The 14,382-nt window shown below is 40.1% G+C and overlaps 1 protein-coding gene across 1 annotated transcript in view, besides 1 other annotated feature; it reads right to left on the bottom strand.

Annotated features, from left to right (window-relative positions):
• NCOA2 (nuclear receptor coactivator 2) overlaps positions 1-14,382 on the bottom strand; it is a 346,665-nt gene that overhangs the window by 330,023 nt on the left and 2,260 nt on the right. The gene's annotated exons all lie outside the window — the stretch shown is intronic.
• Positions 2,164-2,705: an enhancer, noted in NCBI's record as "OCT4-NANOG hESC enhancer chr8:71354203-71354744 (GRCh37/hg19 assembly coordinates)". NCBI's record gives its function as "activates a minimal SCP1, AML or CMV promoter by ChIP-STARR-seq in primed H9 embryonic stem cells {active_cell/tissue: H9 hESC(primed)}" and the evidence as "EXISTENCE:reporter gene assay evidence [ECO:0000049][PMID:30033119]".

Raw genomic sequence — 14,382 nt, forward strand, 5'->3', positions numbered from 1 at the left:
TTCATCCCGTCGCTGTCCTTTCAGGGCTGCCCCTGTCAGAGGGCCTGCCGTGTGCTGGGCCTCTCGCCAACCCGTCTCCACCTATACCAATTTTCCCTTGGAGCCCAACATGCTCTGTGCTCAGTACCTCAAAATTAAGACAAGGTGTCAAGAGAGCAATCTTGCCAAAGACTCTGGGACCCGAAAAGGCCACTGAGAGACCCATTGGTAGCACAGCTCCTTGTTGTCTCCAAACCAGCAGCATCATCTCACTTGGAAGCTTGTTAGAAACGAGGATCGAGACCATCCTGGCTAACACTGTGAAGCCCCATCTCTACTAAAAATACAAAAATTAGCTGGGCATGGTGGCGCACACCTGTAGTCTCGGGAGGCTGAAGCAGGAGAATTGCTTGAATCCTGGAGGCAGTGGTTGCAGTGAGCCAAGATTGCACCACTGCACTCCAGCCTGGGCAACAGAGCGAGACTCCGTCTCCAAGAAAAAAAAAAGAAAGAAAGAAACAAATGAGTAATCTCAGCTAGCAGTGGTGGCTCACGCCTGGAATCCCAGCACCTGAGGTCAGGAGTTTGAGACTAGCCTGGCCAAAATGGTAAAACCCCGTCTCTAACAAAAAATACAAAAATTAGCCAGGTGTGGCGGCACACACCTGTAGTCCCAGCTACTCGGGAGGCTGAGGCACGAGAATTGCTTGAACCTGGGAGGCAGAGGTGGCAGTGGGCCGAGATGCGCCACTGCACTTCAGCCTGGGTGGCAGAGTGAGATAAGGGAGAGAGAGAGAGAGACTGAGACAAGGAAGGAAGGAAAGAAAGAAAGAGAGAGCGAGAGAAAGAAAGAAAGAAGAGAGAGAGAGAAAAGAAAGAGGGAGAGAGAGAAAGAAAGAAAGAGAGAAAGAGGAAAGAAAGAAAAGAAGAAAGAAAAAGAGGGAGAGAGAGAAAGAAAGAAAAGAAAGAGAGAAAGAGGAAAGAAAGGAAAGAAAGAAAAGAAGAAAGAAAAAGAAATAAAGACAAGAAAGGAAAGAGAGCAAGAAAGAAAGAGGAAAGAGAGAAAGAAAGAAAGGAAGAAAGAAAGACAGACTCTCAGGTCTTCAGGCCCCTGAGAGAATCTGCATTTAACAGGGTCGTGGTCACAGGTGGGAGAAAAGGAAGAAGAAAGAAAGAAAAGAAAAGAAAGGGAGAGAGAAAGAAAGAGGAAAGATAGAAAGGAAAGAAATTTAAAAAGGAAGGAAAGAAATGAAAGAAAGAGAAAGAAAAGAAAGAGAGAAAGAAAGAAGAAAGGAAAGAGAGAGGAAAGAAAAGAAAGAAGAGAGAGAAAGAAAGAAAGAGAAAGAAAGAAAGAAAGAAAAAAGAAAGACTCTCAGGTCTACAGGCCCCTGAGAGAATCTGCATTTAACAGGGTCATGGTCACATGTGGGAGAAAAGGAAGAAGAAAGAAAGAAAGAGGAAAGAGAAAGAAAGGGGAAAGAGAAAAAAGGAAAGAAATAAAAAAGGAAGAAAAGAAAGAAAAGAGAAAGAGGAAAGGAGAGAGAAAGAAAGAGGAAAGAAAGAGAAAAACAAAGAAAAGAAAGGAGAGAGAAAGAAAGAAGAAAGAGAAAGAAAGAAAAGAAGAGAGAAAGAAAACAAAGAGGGAGAAGAGAAAGAAAAAAGAAAAAAGAAAGAAAAGAAAGAGAGAGGGAGAACAAGCAAAGAAGGGAAAGAAAGAGAAAGAAAAGAAGAAAGAAAAAGAGAAGAAAGGAAAGAAAGAGAGAGAAAGAAAGAGGAAAGAGAGAAAGAAAGAGAAAGAAAAGAAAGAAAGAAGAGAGAGAGAAAGCAAGCAAGCAAGCCTCTCAGGTCTTCAGGCCCCTGAGAATCTGCATTTAACAGGGTCATGGTCACAGGTGGGAGAAAAGGAAGAAGAAAGAAAAGAAAAAGAAAGAAAGGAAAGAAAGAAGAGAGAAAGAAACAGGAAAGAGAGAAAGAAAGAGAGAGAAAGAAAAGAAAGAAGAGAAAGAAAGAAAGAAAGAAAGAAAGAAAGAAAGAAGAAAGAAGAAAGAAAGAAAGAAAGACAGAAAGACAGACAGACAAACTGACTCTCAGGTCTTCAGGCCCCTGAGAGAATCTGCATTTAACAGGGTCACAGTCACAGGTGGGAGAAGAAGAAGAAGAAAGAAAGAAAGGAAAGAAAGAGAGAGAAAGAAAGAGGAAAGAGAGAAAGAAAGGAAAGAAAGAAATAAAGGAAAGAAAGAAAGAGAAAAGAAAGAGAAAGAGAAGAAAGGAAAGAGAGAGAAAGAGGAAAGAAAGAAAAAGAGAAGAAAGAAAGAAGAAACAGAGAAAGAAAGAAGAAAGAAAGAAAGAAAGAAAGAAAGAAAGAAAGAAAGAAAGAAAGAGAAAGGCTGACTCTCAGGTCTTTAGGCCGATGAGAGAAGCTGCATTTAACAGGGTCACAGTCACAGGTAATGTTCCCATTAAAGTTGGCACGCGCTGGCCTAGCTCACACATGCATTTTAAGCCATTCTAGATGTATAGAAGTAAACTTTTAGGGCTGAAGAACATTTACCAACTTCCTCAGGTTATCTTAGTGTTTACTTGGATGTATTTACACATAAATCCCTCAAGCAACATATTTGAAACTTTATTTTCACCTTTGTTATCACTTCGGTGGAGACAAAAATAGTCACCATTCTTGTATATTAACCTTTCACATACTTTTGAAGTACTGGTTTTCTTAGCTCATAATTAGCTTGAAAAAACCTTCATTTGCATGAAAAGGGAAACTTCTTAAGTTAGAAAATTTTGCTAACTTAAATAGCACACGCCTAATTGTGAAACACAGGGTGAAATTCCTCTAAGCAGTATTTATTTTCTTGTAACAAGGCTTTGCCAACAGCTACTGACCTCTGATTTGCTTATGCAAAGGGTCTTACCTTTCAATAGAATGTTGCAGTCCCAACATACCAAGGCTTTTCCCTTTGTCTTGAAGTCTTTAATAACCACTCCCCAGGTCGCTTCTGCTGGAGGATGATTCTAGCTGTCCTGTGGTAGGAATGGCTCTTTTATACCTCTTCTGAGCCATTTTATACCTCTTCTGATCAGAGATAGGATTCCAATGTCTCACATTTCATTATCTTAGAATCCTCCAAATAAAAGCAGTGATATTGACTCAGAATTAGACACTTACGGGTAAGCATCCGTACGCAGTCCATTGCACAAAAAAGCTTAACAAGTCTTTTTCTAACAAAAACATAGTAAATGTAAAACTTTTAGGCTTCCTCGAAGACATAAAAATTTACTAAAATAATAGGCATAGCTGGGCATGGTGGCTCATGCCTGTAATCCCAGCACTTTGGGAGGCTGAGGTGATAGGCTCGCTTGAGGCCAGGGGTTTGAGATCGGCCTGAGCAATGAAGTGACACTCCATTTCTACAAAAAGTTTTTAAAAATTAGCTGGGTGGTGGGGGGCGCATGCCTGTGGTCCTAGCTACTCAGGAGGCTGAGGCAGGAGGATCACTTGAGCCCAGGAGGTTGAGGCTGCAGTGAGCCATGGTCTGATCATGACATTGCACTCCAACCTGGGTGACAGAGTGAGACCCTGTCGCAAAATAATAATAATAATACTAGGTATAATATATTTATTATTATGCCTATAACTTACAGGAATCACTATCTTTAGACAGCAGTGATTTTCTGCATATTTGTATATATTTTGAATATAATTGAATTGAAACAGAGCAATTGCCCCAATTCAGCATGCTGCAGGGTAGCTCTGTTCTATTTTTCTATCTGTCTGTAAAATTTTGTTTAGAGACAAAGTCTTACTCTGTGGCTCAGGCTGGAGTGCACTGGCATGATCAGACCATAGTTTACTGCAGCCTTGAACTTCTGGGTTCAAGGGATCCTCCCACCTTAGCCTCCTGAGTAGCTGGGACTACAGGCATATGCCACCATGCCTGGCTAATAAAAAAAACTTTTTTTTTGGTAGAGATGTGATCTTGCTATATTGCCCCCCAGGCTGATTTTGAACTCTCGGCCTCAAGTGATCCTCTCTTCTCTGCCTCCCAAAGTGCTGCAATTACCGGCTATAATATTATATTTTTATTGCTAAAAGAATAATACTATATATTCTGACTATGGTCATGGTCACATGAATCTTAGCATTAGATAAATTGTATAGAACTAAGCATGCACACACGCGTGCTTGCACACACACACACGCACACACACAGAGCAATTGTCCTAGGCATTTATTCCAGAGAAATAAAAACTTATGTTCACACACAAACATGTAAACAAATGTTTACAGCAGTTTTATTTGTAATAGTCCCAAAGTGGAAATAATCCAAATGTCCTTCAATGGGTGAATAGCTAAACAAATTGTGGTATATTCATATCATGGACTATTACTAAGCATTAATAGAGTCAAACTATTGATATACACAACAACTTGAATAGATCTCAAGGATATCTCAAAAGGCTATATATTGTACGATTCCATTTATATAACATCCTTGAAATGACAAAATTACAGAGATGGAAAACAGATTAGTAGTTGCCAGAGGTTAGGGAGTGGGGTAGGAAGGAGGTGGCTGTGGCTGTGGCTATAAAAGGGTAGCACGAGGGATCTTTATGATGAAACTATTACATATCTTCACTGGTGGTGGTTACATCAAACTATGCATGTGAAAATATCGCATAGAACTGAGTATATACACACACCCCTTCACACATACATATATGTAAATGAGTGCATATAAAACAGAATAAGATTGCTGGACTGCATCAGTGTGAATTTTCTGGTGGTGATATTGTACTATAATTATGCAAGACATTGTCATTGAGGGAAACTGGGCAAAGGGTATATGGGATCTCCCCACATTATTTCTTACAACTGTATGAAAATCTATAATTATCTCAAAATAAAAAGTTAGAAAATAATACAGCAATTTCTCTGAACCTGGGGCTGTTGTAAGAATTAATAAGACAAAATATAGAATGCAGATCTTTGAAAGCTTTCTTTGTGTGTATAAAACATTAATATTATTTTTAATTCTGAAGGGGCACCCCAGCATTAGGTTTTATAGTTCAAAATTACATGAAATTGATGGACCTCACCTTGATTCTATCTTTTAAATTTGGAGCTTAGAGTTTTATTAATTTCTTTCACTTATTAGGGTCCACTAGTTTTGCTAACAACTTCAGCAAATGTGTCTACTACTTAAGAGATTTTGTGTGAGACGTTGAATGCTGTATTCAATGGGTGCTCTCTATAAATACTGTTTAAAATTAGATGGCAAAGACTTTCAATTTACATTCTGCCAACTGTTTTACCACACTTTTTTTCTTGCCTGTTTGCCTGCCATGTTATCCTCTATAATGAGTGAGTTACAGTAATTGTAGCTGGAAAAATCATCATGCAAGGGGGGAAAAAAGCTCAAAACCTGCCTTATTTTTAAATCAGTAAAGCTTCTGTCATTTTTTGGCTGAGTTACAGCCTCACAGCAAAGTCAAAGAACCAATAGAGTAAATGCCACGTGGGGAAAGGCTTGGTTGAAGCATAAATTAACTGTATTTCATTTTCCCTTAATAAAGAATTTCAGTTTTTCCACAGTTAACTGTATAATCAATTTGCTCCCCTGCTGGTTTGCTAACTTGCTGTTGGCTTTACTTCAATAATATTGAGCCGAGCCTGTAACGAGAGAAAGAGGAGGAGCTGATCTCACTGAGAAAAAAATACACTGCTGTGATAGAACATACAGTTTCTCCTTCCTGGAATTTTTCTGGGCCTTTTATCCTTTAAAAGCCTAAACGTGTTGCCCCAAGACCCCCCACGCCTCTGGCCTCTCCACACTCATTATAATATCTGGTATATTCACAGAGCTACTGTAATCATGTTTTGTTGATGGGAGGATGTTCGAGTTTTAAATCCTTCTCCATGTTCTGCAGCCTGGGGCTTCCCAGCCTTGGAGTGCCACTGGAAGACTTTTGTGTTTGATTGATTGATTGATGTTTTATTTTCTTTTTAAAAATCATTTAACTATGCAAGAAGTAAGAAAGTTGCTTCCATGAATAGCGCAGAATAACTCAACATCAAACACTGCTGCGCAATCAGCACTTTAATTGTAAAATTATCCTACTGGAAGGGTCGGAGAGAGCACAGAAAAAATACATTCTATCATAACTGCTGATTTTGTTCTTCCTGCCCTTCCCATGCCTAGAAATTATACCCTATACTATGGGTTGGTTCACTAACTTACTTGTAATTCTACTTTTTTTTTTTCCAGCTTTCTGGATTACAAGACACAAGTTAAACATACAAGATAAACAAATATTATCTTTAGTCACAGAATCACCAGACAAAAAGCTCTTCAGAGCAAGCTGTCTCCACCCCTCCACATTGCTACTTCTGCTCCTCATGCCCAAAGCGGCACTTCAATTCGAGGACGGCTCACTCGGAGAACTGGGAGAAGCAGTAGGGCCCTGAAGTCAAACCACCACAACCCCTTTATCGGCTCCAGGGCTGGGTGCCCAAAATTTGGTTTTTGCCTCAGATAGCTTCGTAGTCACATTAACCCCTAAGGTGCCTTCCAGAGGACTGTGGAAGAATATAGGATTACAGAACTTCACAGATTCTTGGTGTAGACATTCACAAAAACCCTCCCATTCTCAGCGTTGATTCTTTCTTTTGTTTCCCTTAGCTCCTTTGCCAATGACTGTGGCACTTACTGTATAGTTTTGGACTATATCTCTCGTTGCCATAATTCCTGGGTCATCATTACATAATAGTTTGGAATGAGGTTTTGTTTTTGTTTTCATCCCTAATTTTATTGTAAATCCCTATTTTTTTCCCTCCCTGCCTTTCCCCCAGAGAGTCCCCAGGAAGTATTCTAATGAGCTGAGCTATTTTTCAATTTCGCTCAGTTTTTCCATCTGATGGGAGAGTCCATTTAAATTGATTTTTCTGAAAGAAATGGTTCTTTCTTTTTTTTTCCAACAAGTTATATGAGAAGGATTAAAAAGAAAGAGAAGGATAAGAAAATATGCCATTTAACACAACCTTTGTCCTTCTGGAAACTTCAAGATTTGATGTTCACCCCAAACTATGCACAAAATGCAACAAAGCCTTCACGATTTGTCCTGTCCTTGGAAGCTAAATCTGAGCCTGCTCAGCAATTCTAGGCTTCCTGAAATGTTTTCGCTAAAATCACCAAATCAAAATTTCAGTTTGTCTTGAAATCAAAGCAATATAGAAAATTCACACATACTACAGTGATAATAATCTGTTTTACAGAATCCACGAGAAAATGAGTAACAAAGATACATATGAATGAATTTCTCTTTGGCAATCACAGAGAATTATTTTTTGAGGAAAATATAATTAAGAATGGCATTTTATTTGAGGAAAACACTCTAACACATTGTCACTGAGTGGGCTAGAGCATTCCAAACTCTTTCCCTGTCGTTTCTCCTTAAGATGCAGACCAGACTTAGGAGCATAGCCCTCAGTCGCATCAGAGCACACAATAGCTGGATTGGGGCGAAAAAGCACATAGGAGACAGTTGTTTGGCTGCTTTGGGGCAAGCCATGACAAGCTCAGGCAATAATTTGAAAGAAACTTTTCCAAAAAGATCATGTAGCAAGCTCCCAATTTAGAAAGCAGTAGGGATCGTGTCCAGTCAAATAATGGCGGCCACACCCATTGTGTCCAGTCTGTTCGCCATCCAAGAGATGTGACTGACTCACTTAGAGTGACTGACTCACTTAGAATCCACCGAAAAGTTGTTCCACAGACTTTTTCTTTGAGACAAGTTTTTTTTTTCTCCTAATCCCTGGTTGATAGTTAATTTATACTTTCATTTTTCATTTCCACACTAGCTGAAATGGCCATCATTTCTTAGGTCTTTGTTTTCTTTTTTTTTTTTTTTTTTCTGAGACAGGGTCTCACTCTGTCACCCAGGCTGGAGTGCAGTGGCGCCACCATGGCTCACTGCAGCCTCGACCTCCCAGGCTCAGGTGATCCTCCCACCTCAGTCTCCTGAGTCGTTAGGACTACAGGAGCATGCCACTACACCTTGCTACTTTTTGTATTTTTCTTAGAGATGGGGTTTCTCCATATTGCCCAGGCTGGTCTCAAACTCCTGGGCTCAAGCCATCCTCCTGCTTTGGCCTCCCAAAGTGCTGGGATTACAGGCATGAACCACCATGCCTAGCCCCCGATCTGTTAATTCACCATTACTGATCTTTGACAATCTTTGATATTCTTATTCTAATCAAATTTCTTGACAAAGGGAATCTGCATAGGCATAGTTGTTATTTCTAACAGACTTTTTTTTTTTCTTGGAGCTTATAAAGTCTCCTGAACAAAGGGATAAAATGGAGGCTAATGCTAATTTTTTTTCCTTCTTGTCCTCAAGAAAATTAGAGGACTGAGGAAATCATTTATGAAAGCAAAAAGAAAGTTTTATTGATCTTTGTAGGGCAGGTAGCTATGGATATCTTGCTTCTGTGAGAAAGCAGGTAATATTTTTATAAGTATGCTGGAAGGTAAGAAATGCCTTTCTCTGTAGCATGGCCATGTTGAAAATATGTGTGTGTGCACAGACACACATACCACAAGCAAAACAAAACAAAAATATCAGAGTGAACAAAGAGAAGTCAAAACTGAAAGAGGTAAGACTAAAGTTAAAATTTAGTGTACTATACCCTAGGGCTTTTTCTGAACTACTGCCCTGTGATCAGAAGCACTCAGTGTGACAATTGGCAAAGGTAGAAATTGGCATCACGACTAAGAAAACAATTGCAAGAAAAAGTATGATGTTTTTGAAATAAGGAAAAAAACAACATTTTTCTTTTTTCCTTTGATACTGAGCAGACACACACACCACTTACATCGCATGATGTAGAAAAAAATGTTAAAATGTCCCTTGCTTCCAATCTTACATGTTTTTGCTTAGTGCACAGAAAAGAATATACTTAATTATTGTGGTGACAAAATAAGGCAGAATTATCATACAATGAGACTTGTTGCCTGGCTTTTTTTTTTTTTTTAAGAGACAGAGTCTTGCTCTGTCAACCAGGCTGGAATGCAGTGGTGCAATCGCAGCTCACTGCAGCCTTGATCTCCTGGACTCGAGAGACCCTCCCACCTTAGTCTCCTGAGCAGCTGAGACACAGGTGCCGCACCACCATGCTCAGCTGATTAAAAAAAATTTTTTTAGAGATGGGGTCTTACTGTGTTGTCCAGGCTGGTCTCAAACTCCTGGCCTTAAGCAATCCTCCCACCTCAGTCTCCCAAAGCCCTGAAATTACAGGCGTGAACCACAGCACCTGGCCTACCTTACACTTTAAATTAAAAATAGATTTCTCAAAATGAAGTCAACTTATACATTAAGTGTAAACTGAAAATTTACAAGTTTCATGTCCCTTATCAAAAATCTCTTCTCTAACCAGGTAATTGTCAAGGAAAACAAGATGAAATAGAAGCACCTGCTCTCATTTATGCATTTATTAATTATTCCACAAATACTTGTTAAGCACCTTCTAAAGTTTTGGGCACTATGAGCATTTATATCAGTTACAGTCCCAAGAGTAAACAGATGGCACATTCAAATTACAATAATCCAGAGGGAGTTTATTTACAAAAGGGATTAATTTCAAAGGTGTGGGTAAAGCAGGATTATGCAGGAACTCAAGGCTAGCACCAGCAAAACTGTCACCCCTTGTAGGTCCTGAAGGAGAGGGAGCGAGCAAAGGAACACGACCAGGGAGAGAGCTGGCAGGATCAGGGAACCTTACAGAAAAGGAGCCAGGTGAACCAACACCTTGATCTTACCCTTCTTCCCTCCTCCAATCTCTACCCAGGGATCCCCACTGACTGAACTCAGCCAGCATCTGCAGAGACCTGAGCCCACTGGCTGAGTCTGTGTGGGCAGCAGCCAGAGAGCAAAGGCAGAGAGCAGAGTGAACAGGAGGTCTGCAGGGGCAGATCCAAGACGTTCACATGGGACTAGACCAGAGAACAGGAAAGCACCTGTCCTCACAAAGTTGACTTATTTATTAGAAAGCATCGATGTCAACCTTTAGCAATAAAAGTGCTTTTAGGCAAGTACAAATTAAGGGCTAATTTCCGGTTGGGACAGTATGAAATGCAACGAAGTAGCAACAGAATTGAATCAATGTGCTCTGAATGGCTGCTGTGTTCTTCAAAAGCAGGAATGTAGAATAATATATACCTTTTTTTTATTTTTAGAAACCTTTCTCCTTGCTCTAATGGGGTGATAACGTAAGAGGTTGGAAAGAGAAGAACAAAACCATTGTGTGAAACACAGCCCTTATTTTTCGTTCCTTCTCTCAGCATAGGAGCATACAAGGGTGCTCTGCCCTTCTGGACTCCCTAGCACATGTCACACACATGAGCTAGAGCTCTCAGTAACTATTACATCCTGAACAAATTCATATGTTCAAAACTAACCCTCAATGTGATAGTATCAGAAGGTGGGGCATGTGGGAGGTGATTAGGTCATGATGGCTCCACCCATGTGAATGGGATTAGGGTCCTTATAAAGGAGACTCCTGAACACTAACTAGCCCCTTTTACCATGTGAAGATATAGCAAGAAGGTACCATCTCTGAATCAGGAAGTGGGCCCTCACCAGACACTGAATTTGCCGGTAACTTGATCTTGGACTTTCCAGCCTCCAGAACTGTGAGCAATAAATTTCTGTTGTTTATAAACTACCCAGTGTATGATACTTTTGTTAAAGCAACCTGAACAGATGCACTAACTCACTTCTTTTTATTCTTTTTTTTTTTTTTTTTTTTTGTGAGATGGAGTCTCAGTCTTGTTGCCCAGGCTGGAGTGCAATGGGGCAATCTTAGCTCACTGCAACCTCCACTTCCTGGGTTCAAGTGATTCCCCTGCCTCAGCCTCCTGAGTAGCTGGGATTACAGGGGTGCGCTACCACTCCTGGGTACTTTTTGTATTTTTAGTAGAGATGGGGGCCACGCTAGTCTCGAACTCTTGACCTCAGGTTACCCACCCGCCTTGGCCTCCCAAAGTGCTGGAATTACAGGCATGAGCCACCGTGCCTGGCCAACTCACTTCCTTTTCAAAACAAGAATTCTCTTAGTTTCAGTGCTATCTGTTCTTTAAGGTTAGAACTGGCTGGGCACAGTGGCTCATGCCTGTAATTCCAGCACTTTGGGAGCTGAGTAGGGCGGATCACTTGAGCCCAGGAGTTCAAGAACAGTCTGGGTAACATGGTGAAAGCCTGTCTCTACAAAAAATACAAAAATATTAGCCTGGCCTGGTGGCGGGCGCCTGTAGTCCCAGCTACTAGGGAGGCTGAGGCAGGAGAATGGTGTGAACCCGGGAGGCGGAGCTTGCAGTAAGCTGAGATCGCGCCACTGTGCTCCGGTCTGGGGGACAGAGCAAGACTCCGTCTCAAAAAAAAAAAAAAAAAAAAATATATATATATATATATAAATTAGCCAGGCATGGCAGCACGCACCTGTAGTCCCAGCTAGTCGGGAGGCTAAGGCAGGAGGGTCACTTTTGCCTGGGTGGCAGAGGCTGCAGTGAGCCATGATCACCCCACTGCACTCCAGCCTGGATGACAGAGTGAGACCAAAAAAAAAAAAAAAAAAAAAGGAGGAAACAAAAAGAAAAAGAGCTAGAATTTCTCTAAGTATCCTAACACTTATCTCTTCTTCTAAGCCACCGTAGTACACAAATCCTTTCATTTATAATGTGTGCGTTTCTTCTGTCCTTCAATCTTGACCTTAAAGTTGCTTAAGCACTCACAAATATTTTAAACTATTTTTTTTTAGATTCCTTTCCACAGCATATAGCACTGCAGCTAATGCAGAAAGGGTACTTGGTTCGATTGACTATGTTTGATTATTTAGATAGACTGTCCCATTAAAATTGAAATAACATTCATTCTTCAACCTGCTGGATCACGATCCTCCACAGGTAGGTTGATCATATGTCCTGTTTTGCTTGAAACTGTCTCAGTATGTCTGTATTCTCTGAGCAAGTATTAACAGTTCTCTCCCTTCACTTATAAATATCCTGAAGAAAATATTTGCAATTCATATACCAGGTTAAAGTGTCTGTAATAGATAAAGAACTCTTACAACTCAACAATAAAAAGATGACTCACTTTTAAAATGGGCATTTAAGGTGTTTGTTTGTTTGTTTGTTTGTTTGTTTGTTTTTGAGACAGGATCTCACTCTGTTGCCCAGGCTGGAATGCAGTGTCACCATCACAGCTCACTGCAACCTCTGTCTCCCAGGCTCAGGTGATCCTCCCACCTCAGCCTTCCAAGTATCTGGGACTATAGGCACATGCCACCATTCCAGGCTAATTTTTTGTAATTTTTGTAGACATGGGGTTTCACCATGTTGCCCAGGCTGGTCTCAAACTCCTGGGATGGAGTGATCTGCCCACCTTGGCCCCCAAAGTGCTGGGATTACAGGTGTGAGCCACTTCACCTGGACTGTTAAATAATTGTAATAGTCAGTTCTCCAAAGAAATAAAAAGTGGCCAATGAGCATGTTAAAAGATGTTTAACACCACTAATCATTACGGAATGCAAATCAAAACTACAAGATACCATGTCACACCCATGAGGATAACTATAATCAAAAAAAGAGAAAATAACAAGACTGGGCATAGTGGCTCCTGTTGTGTGATTCCATTTATGTGAAATGTCCAGAATGGGCAAATCCATACAAAACAAAAGTATCTCTGTGGTTTCGAGGGCCTGGGGGAAAAGAGAATGGGGAGTCACTGCTTAATGTGTGTGGGGTCTCCTTTAGGGATGATGAAAATGTTTTAGAGCTAGATAGAATTGAAGTTTGTAAAACACAAAATATACTAAAAACCAATTAATTGTACATTTTAGAATGGTGAATTTTATGTGAATTAAATATCAATTTTTAAAATTGCAAAAAGAAAAAAAAAAGCCAACACCAAAAATCTAAAAGACCCAAACAAAAACATAAAACTTCAATGTCTCCTGGTTTGAACAATTAATTATATGATCACTCTATTCATAGGGCAATTAGAAGGGAGTAAATGGAAGGAAGTAAAGATTACAAAGATTGCAAGGAACTGGGAGTTGAAGATTAGGATAAAAATCTTCTTTCAAGACCTAGTTCTTTAAGAGATAGAAAATTAGCAGTACAGGTGAAAGTGTTTGGTTTTGTATTTTCAGTCTAATGTAACCCAGGATCAAGGTCAGACTGAAATTCTAAAGATTCTCTTGAAGAGTAAGGGTTAATATTTATTAGTACAGAAGTGCCCCAACCTAACAAACTTTTAAGTAGAACCTTCAGATAGAGGAGCCTATTCGCCTAATGTTAATTCAGGAGAGGGCTTGGAGCTTGAGAATTTAAATGCTAAGCCTGGCCAAAGTGTTCCTGATGAAACTTTTGTGGCAAGACTTCCCTAGTCCTTGCTATCTACCTTCCCCTTACCCTGGCGTTGGCCCACATCGAAATGCGCCCAATGTCAGAGTCTGGGGCAGGTAGACAGCAAGGAGATCCTACAGTTGCTGAGTGGTCCCCTAGGCTCACGCAGAAATTACCACGGACAGGAGTTGCCTCCTTCTTCACACATGGAGTGGAGATGAAACTAATCCATTTTGCCCAAAGGTGGCTGATAGAATGTGTATTAACCTGATCCTAAAGCTTAAAAGATGAACTCACACTCCTGTATAGGGTAATGCATTTGGGAGCTAGACATTTATAAGCCTAGTCTGTTCATAAGTAGAAAGCTATGCTCAGTTTATTCCCCTTCTTTATTTTAAATCAAGTGTTGAATAAGAGGTTTCCTTATTAAATAAAATCCCCTGAAGTCTCAGTGAGGCCCTCTCGAAGGGCTATCTATTCTGCCTGAAATTGTCACACCATCTTCTCGCTCCTTCCTTTTCCTTTCTCCATCCTTTTCATTAAGGACTTACTGTGGATTCAGCACTGTGAAACACACACAGAAGTCAAACACTGGATATTTGCCCTCAAAGACTTTACAGTCAAGTTGAAGAGAGAAATAGAAATAGAAAATGCTAGATAATGTTATGCTTTAAACAACATATGAGCATTGTCACAAAGCAATATACTATTACATTCTATGTGGTGGTATGGGAATAAGCGCTATGAGTTTAGGAGGGTGAGATCCTTGTGAGATGAAAAAGATTGAGAATTGTTCATGTTTCATTTAAAGTAACTCTCATTTTGACAAACTCTTAAGGATTTTCTACTGAGAATTGAAATATGGTGCCCATTGACTAAGCCTTGAAAATAGTTTTGCTTTATATAATTGTAATCACATTTTATCTGTATTATAAGATTCTAATACTCCCTTCCTAACTCCAAATTGGATAGCCTCTTAGCATTTATGGTAACAGAA

The sequence above is a fragment of the Homo sapiens genome, chromosome 8 (assembly GCF_000001405.40).
Source record: "Homo sapiens chromosome 8, GRCh38.p14 Primary Assembly".
NCBI lineage: Eukaryota > Metazoa > Chordata > Mammalia > Primates > Hominidae > Homo > Homo sapiens.